This window comes from Homo sapiens, chromosome 3, assembly GCF_000001405.40.
Source record: "Homo sapiens chromosome 3, GRCh38.p14 Primary Assembly".
Lineage (NCBI taxonomy): Eukaryota > Metazoa > Chordata > Mammalia > Primates > Hominidae > Homo > Homo sapiens.
In genome coordinates, this window is record NC_000003.12 from 75,139,018 (window position 1) to 75,146,951 (window position 7,934).

Genomic DNA, 7,934 nt, shown 5'->3' on the forward strand with positions numbered 1-7,934 from the left:
TGGGGCATGAAGCGATTCACCAGTTCCTGTACATGGCTGACTGCCCCTTGCCTTTACTGGGCAAGGGACCTACTTAGCAAGCGGAGAGCCACTATCTCTTTTACAAAGCATGGCTCTTTACAGCTAAAGTTACCTGGAATGGGAGTCATTGTGTTTCTTACGGTTCCTTGGGAGGAGGAATGGAGACTCTTCTTAACTGAGCCAGGCCAAGAGATAGGACCAGCTCTGGCTAAGCGGTGGCCAAGGGTGTGGGTGGAAGACAACCCTCCAGGTTTGGCAATCAACCAGGCCCCTGTACTTAGAAGCTAAGCCTGGGGCCCAGCCATTCAGGCAAAAGCAGTACCAGGTCCCCAGAGAAACCATTGAGGGCATCCAGGTCCATCTCAAGCACCTGAGGGCCTTTGGAATTATAGTCCCATGTCAGTCCCCTCCTACCTGTTCCCAAGCCAGGGACCAGGGACTACAGGCCAGTACAGGATTTGTGCTTGGTCAACCAAGCTACAGTGACTTTGCACCCAACGGTACCTAACCCATACACATTGTTGGGGTTGCTGCCAGCTGAGGACAGCTGGTTCACCTGCTTTGACCTAAAAGACTCTTTCTTTAGTATCAAACTAGCCCCTGAGAGCCAAAAACTGTTTGCCTTTCAGTGGGAGGATCTGGGGTCAGGTGTCACCACTCAGTACACTTGGACCCAGCTCCCCCAAGGGTTCAAGAACTCCCCCACCATCTTTGGGGAGGTGCTGGCTTGAGACCTCCAGAAGTTTCCCACCAGAGACCTAGGCTGCGTGCTGCTCCATTAGGTCAACGACCTCTGCTGGGACACCCCACGGCAGTCGGGTGTGCCAAGGGAATGAATACCCTGCTCCAGCACCTAGAAGACTGTGGGTATAAGGTGTCCAAGAAGAAAGCTCAGATTGCAGACAGCAGGTACGTTATCTGGGATTTACTATCCGACAGGGAGAGCGCAGCCTGGGATCAGAAAGAAAGCAAGTCATCTGCAACCTGTCAGAGCCTAAGACCAGAAGGCAGGTAAGAGAATTCTTAGGAGCTCCAGGGTTCTGCAAGTTGCAGATCTCAAAGTTTGCAGTATTGGCTAAGCCCCTGTACAGAGACACAAAGCGGGGAGACAAGGAACCTTTTGAATGGGAGTCCCAACAGCAATGAGCTTTTCATGAGTTAAAAGAGAAGCTCTTGTTGGCCTCAGCCCTGGGGCTACCTGACCTAACAAAACCTTTTACACTGTATGTGTCAGAAAGAGAAAAAATGGCAGTTGGAGTTTTAACCCAGATGATGGGGCTCTGGCCAAGACCGATAGCCTACCTCTCCAAACAGCTAGATGGAGTTTCTAAGGTTGGCCCCCATGCTTAAGAGCCTTGGCAGCAACTGCCCTGTTAGTACAAGAGGCAGATAAGCTAACTGTTGGGCAAAACCTAAACATAAAGGCCCCCCATGCTGTGGTAACACTAATGAACATCAAAGGACATCATTGGTTAACGAATGCTAGACTAACTAGGAACCAAAGCTTGCTCTGTGACAATTCCCGCATAACCATTGAAGTTTGCAACACCCTGAACCCTGTCACCTTGCTCCTGATATCAGAGAGCCCAGTTGAACATAACTGTGTAGAGGTATTGGACTCAGTTTATTCTAGCAGGCCCAACCTCCGAGACCATCCTTGGACATCACTAGACTGGGAGCTATACATGGAAGGGAGCAGCTTCGTCAACCCAAGGAGAGAGGTGTGCTGGATATGCAGAGGTAACCCTGGACGGTGTCATTGAAGCCAAATTGTTGCCCCAGGGTACTTTAGCCCAGAAGGCAGAACTCATTGCTTTAATTCAGGCCTTAGAGCTAAGTGAAGGTAAGACTAAACATTTACACTGACTCTAGGTGTGCCTTTTTAACTCTTCAAGTGCATGGGGCATTATACAAGGAAAAAGGCCTATTGAACTCTGGGGGACAAGATGTAAAGTATCAGCAAGAGATCCTGCAACTATTAGAGGCAGTGTGGAAGCCCCAAAAGGTGGCAGTCATGCACTGCAGTAGACACCAGTGAGATTCTACCTTGATTGCCTTGGGGAACTCCCAAGCTGACTCAGAGGCTCAAAAAGCAACATCCACACCCTACCGGGCATCAGTCACAGCATCCCCTGCTCCCTCAGGAACCTGACCTTGTACATACTTATTCTAAAGAAGAGAAGTACTTTCTCCAGGCAGAGGGAGGGCAGATGATAGAAGAGGGATGGATCCAGTAATTGGACAGAAGAATAGCTGTGCCACAACTGCTAGGAGCCACCGTCGTACTGGCTGTGCATGAGACCACCCTCCTAGGCCAAGAGTCACTTGAAAAGTTGTTAGGCCAGTATTTCTAAATCTCGCATCTGTCAGCCCTTGCCAAAACAGTGGCGCAGCCATATGTTACCTGCTGGCAGCACGATGCTAGGCAAGGTCCAACCATTCTGCCCATCATACAAGCTTATGGAGCAGCCCCCTTGGAAGATCTCCGAGTAGACTTCACCAAGATGCCCAAATGTGGAGGTAAAAAGTATTTGCTAGTTCTAGTGTGTACGTACTCTGGGTGGGTGGAGGCCTATCCAACATGAACTGAGAAAACTCGTGAAGTAACCCATGTGCTTCTCCAAGATCTCATGCCTAGGTTTGGACTGCACTTACGAATCAGCTTGGACAATGGGCCGGCGTTTGTGGCTGACTTGGTACAGAAGACAGCTAAGGTATTGGGGATCACATGGAAACTACATACCGCCTACCAACCACAAAGTTCCGGAAAGGGAGCAGATGAATCAGACTACCAAAACATAATTTAGTGAAAGTGTGTCAAGAAACAGGGTTAAGGTGGGTACAAGCTCTCCCTGTGGTATTGTTTAAGATTAGATGTACCCCTTCTAAAAGAACAGGCTATTCTCCTTATGAAATATTATATCATAGGCCCCCTCCCATACTATGGGGACTCCCAGGTACTCCTCGAGACCTAGGTGAAATTGAGTTACAGAGACAGCTACAGGCTTCAGGGAAAATTACACAAACAATTTCAGCCTGAGTAAATGAGAGATGCCCCATCAGCTTATTCTCCCCAGTTCACCCTTTCTCCCCAGGGTGTGGATCAAGGATTAGAACGTAACCCCCTTGTGGCCATGGTGGAAAGGACCCCAGACTGTCGTCTTGACCACAGCCATAAAGGTAGAGGGAATCCCAGCCTGGATCCACCACAGCCACGTTAAACCTGCAGCACCTGAGACCTGGGAGGTAAGACCAAGCCCGGACAACGCCTGCAAAGTGACTCTGAAGAAGACGACAAGCCCTGCTGCAGTCACACCCGGAAGCTGACTGGTCCACACACGGCCGAAGCATGAGGAAACTCATCTTGGGACTCCTTTTCCTTAAACTTTGGACTTATAGAGTAAGGACTTCAACTGACCTTCCTCAGACTGAGGACAATTCCCAGCATATATATCAAGTCACTGAGATAGGACAAAAGGTTGCTGTAGTCCATTATTTTATAGTTATTATGAGTGTACCGGGACTCTAAGAGGAACTTGTTTGTATAATGCTACTCTATACAAGGTATGTAGCCCAGGAAGTGACCAGCCTGATGTGTGCTCTAACCCATCTGAGCCTCCTATGACTACCATTTTTGAAATAAGATTGAGGACTGGGAGCTGGGGAAAAGCTGATATGAGTAGAGTAGTAACTAGAATAGAAGAGAAAGGAGTCCCCAAACAAATTTTCTTAAAATTTGATGCCTGTGCAGCAATCAACAGTGACCTGTATGGAAATAGAATAAGATGTAGCTCTCTAGATTGGGAAAGGGGCTATATAGTAGAAAATAAGTATGTTTGTCATGAATTAGGACTATGTACTGATGAATGTAGTTACTGGTCCTGTGTTATTTAGGCCACCTGGAAAAAAATATGAGAAGGACCCTGTCCTCCTTCAAAAAGGAAAGAGTAACTCTTCATGCACTTGTGGTTACTGTAACCTATTAGAACTACTAATTACCAATCCCCTTGATCCCCATTGGAAAACAGGAGAGTATGTAAATTTAGGAATCAATGGAACTGGACTGGATCCCTGAGTAAATATTTTAGTCCAAGGGGAGGTCCACAGGCTCTCTCCCAAACCAGTGTTTCAGACATTTTATGATGAGCTGAATCTGCCAGCACCAGAGCTTCCACAAAAAAGAAAAGAACTTGTTTCTCCATTTAGCAGAAAATGTAGCTCATTTCCTCAATGTTACTTCCTGTTACATATGTGGGGGAACCACTATGGGAGACCGATGGCCTTGGGAAGCCCGAGAATTGGTGCCTACTGATCCAGTTCCTGACATAATTCCAGTCCAGAAGACTTCTGGGTCTTGAAAACCTCTATTACTGAACAATACTGCATAGCTAGGGAATGAAAAGACTTCACCATCCCTGTAGGAAGGCTCAATTGTCTAGGACAGAGGTCTAGGACAGAGGCTGTATAACGGCACAACAGGGACAGTCACCTGGTGGGGTCTAAACCATACTGAAAAGTATGTAAATTTCCTTCATTACATTCCTTCAGTAAATTTCCTAAATTACAGATTGCTTGGCCCATCCACAATCTCATCGAGACTGGACGGCTCCTACTGGACTATACTGGATATGTAGGCACAGAGTCTACACTCAGTTACCTGATCAATGGCCAGGTAGTTGTGTCATTGGCACCAGTAAGCCATCCGTTTTCCTACTGCCCGTTAGAACAGGTGAGCTCTTAGGTTTCCCTGTCTATGTCTCCCGAGAAAAGAGGAGCATAGCTATAGGAAATTGGAAAGGTGATGAGTGGCCCCCCCCCGAAAGGATCACACAGTACTATAGGCCTGCCACATGGGCACAAGATGGCTTGTGGGGATACTGAGCCCCTATCTACATGCTCAACTGGATCATACTGTTACAGGCCATCTTAGAAATAATCACTAAAGAAACTGGCAGAGCTTTGACTCTTTTAGCCCAGCAGAAACCCCAAATGAGAAATGCCATCTAGCAGAATAGATTGGCCTTAGACTATTTGCTGGCAGCTGAAGGAGGAGTCTGTGGAAAATTCAACTTGACCAATTGCTGTCTGCAAATAGATGGTCAAGGACAAGTAGTCGAAAATATAGTTAGAGACATGACAAAGCTGGCACATGTACCCATGCAGGTTTGGCATGGGTTTGATCCTTGATCCCTGTTTGGAAAATAGTTTCCAGCTCTAGGAGGATTTAAAACTTTTATAATAGGAATAATAATAGTGTTAGGAACATGCATGTTACTCCCCTGTATGTTACCCATATTTCTACCACCTTAGTTCATCAAAAGACCTCAGCACAAGTATATTACATGAATCACTATCGATATGTCTCACAGGAAGATCTAGATAGTGAGGATGAGAATGAGAACTCCCACTAGTGTGTGAGGTTCTCAAAGAGGGGTATTAGGAGACAAGCCATTTCTCCTACTGTCCCCTGTATCCAAAGAAAAGGAGGAAGTAAAAACTGAAAAATAACAGACTGATCAGTGCCACTGGCCAGGCCTGTAGGTTAAAGATTAACCCCACCCTAACTGCTTGTGCTATCTATAGATCACAGATAATGGTATGGAGAAATACTTGCCTTGCTCACCACCCCCACCTAGTCATGTACCACATGCTTGCTCAATATATCGTGACCCTTTCACGTGAACCCCTTAGAGTTGTAAGCGGGAACTCTTTTTTTGGGGAGTTCAGTTCTTGAGACACAAGTCTGCCAACACTCCTGGCCAAATAAAGCCTCTTCCTTCTTTAACCCGGTGTCTGAGGGCATTTGTCTGTGGCTCGTCCTGCTACAATGGACCTTCTGGTTTAGAGAGTCTGTATATGTTGAACTTTAATGGATTTTTCCAATTTTCTAGTAGGTTACTTTCCAATAAGATTGTATCAATTAATGCTCTCATGAGCAATGTATGAATAAAGTGACCATTTCTTTTGAGAAGTTTAATTTCAAAGAAAGAAAGCCACAACACAATCATTTTTCTTAGCATTTGGAAACTCATGGTAAGGATGATTACTGCTTACTATCACCACCACTACTGTTTAACGCTAAAACCATTGATTCTAAAAAACTACTACTGTTACTGTATTGATACAAAATCAGGAGCTATCATTTATCGCACAACTTTTATGAAACAGCCATTCCTACAGTGTCTTTATTAGCAGTATTTTGTTTATTTCTAGATATTAATCTCTGTTAGGTTGGTGAAGAATCTGAGCGTTAGAATACTTGAATGGTACACATAAGATCACTCAGCCTGTAACTCCTGCCACTTCCAACTGAAGCCAAACACACTATTCTGAAATTCTTTGAAAGACAGGACATCAAGTTGACGGCTCCAGCCCAAAGCTGCACATACATACATGTGTGCATGGATGCACACACACAAAGAGCCGTCTAAAACTTAATGATTGGAGGAAATTGTGTCTTTTGTTCTTCATTTAAAATCATTTACTAGTAAGTAGATAGGAAAGCCATTTTGCTTGTTCTACTTCGAATATTATTCCCAGATTCATTGTCTTCCTTCTTTATATCATCATCACCTGATGCTTTAAGTTTAATGCTCCATGAATGACTTCTTCTATAAAGGCAAAAATAAATACATTTCTTTTTCTACAGATTACATATACTTTTCTATATGTAATCATATGAGCTTTGCAAGTTGTTAAACCTCAGGAATATACATGAGTGCCTGGTTGTTGAAATATCTGAATTAACACTTCTAGCATAGAAGCTTAAATTTAATAAAACCTAAACAAATACACTAGTTTGGACCAAATAATTATTTTGATGCAGAACAAAAACGTTGAGCCAATATGTGACCTTCCTTAGTGAATCTAGGACAAGTGGAGGAACGTTGGAGCCAAATAATCAAGATTACCAAACAATCAAGATTATGTTGGGTAAGACAAAATTGTAAAAAGAAAGAAAAGAAAAGAAAGAAAGAAAAAGAAAGAAAGAAAGAAAGAAAGAAAGAAAGAAAGAAAGAAAGAAAGAAAGAAAAAGGAAGAAAGAAAAAAGAACCAAGGTAACTATTAAATTCTTCATGAGATGAAGTAAGATAGACACAAAAACCAAAACATGATGTATTCTTAAATATGAGAAGCAGGAAATCTTGTCTAAAGAATAGAATCTAAAACCCAGAAGAGACAGACAGGTAGCTCCCTAGACAGAGCTAAAAATTGCAGAGCTCTTTCCAAATTTGGACAAACTATGACTTGTTTCCAAGAGCTATATCAGTAGAAGATGGCCTGTCATTGTACTTGGGTGTTTCAATGCAGGGAAGTTTGTCTTGATTTTAATTCCATATCATATCAGAGGCAAGGATGACAGTATAGGGTTAGAGGCTTACCACTGACCAAGAAATTTCTGTATTTGGAATAACTAGAGACACCAAAACCTAAACAAAAGTTGATATCCCCAAGTCCTTGATAAAGTCCTTAAAAGGTTAGAATTTCTTAAATTTGTCATTTGATCAAGACCCTGAAAATATGTTTATGTAAAATGAATTGTAACACAGGTACTTGTCAACATAATCTCCCCCATGAAACTAAACTTTAAAGAATTCCTTCTTTTCTTGAGTACAAAAGTACTCAAAGTACTTTTGTAATTCTGTTTTGACATATCTTATTTTGCCACATTATAACACTATTTAAGATGCAAGAGATGCCACATTCTTTATTCTTCAAAATAGTGTTGTGTTTAGCTGTCAGGAGCCCTTCACTCTTTTCTATGCAAAATCCAATATGTGTCATTTTCCATGGTTCTCCACCTGTCCCATGCACACTTACATTGGACTCTGCATACCGCCTGAGCAATTGTTACATGTAGACTGAAAATTTTGGCCTCTGGAAAGATTCTCATTCCTCCATGTCCTCATTTC

At 43.5% G+C, this 7,934-nt stretch overlaps 1 long non-coding RNA gene across 1 annotated transcript; it reads left to right on the top strand.

Annotated features, from left to right (window-relative positions):
• Positions 1 to 550: 550 nt before the first annotated feature.
• LOC107986099 (uncharacterized) lies at positions 551 to 5,807 on the top strand. Its single transcript, XR_001740759.1, has 3 exons — positions 551 to 1,032; positions 1,655 to 2,856; positions 3,117 to 5,807. It is a non-coding gene; the product is annotated as an uncharacterized LOC107986099 (long non-coding RNA).
• The last annotated feature ends 2,127 nt before the right edge of the window (positions 5,808 to 7,934 follow it).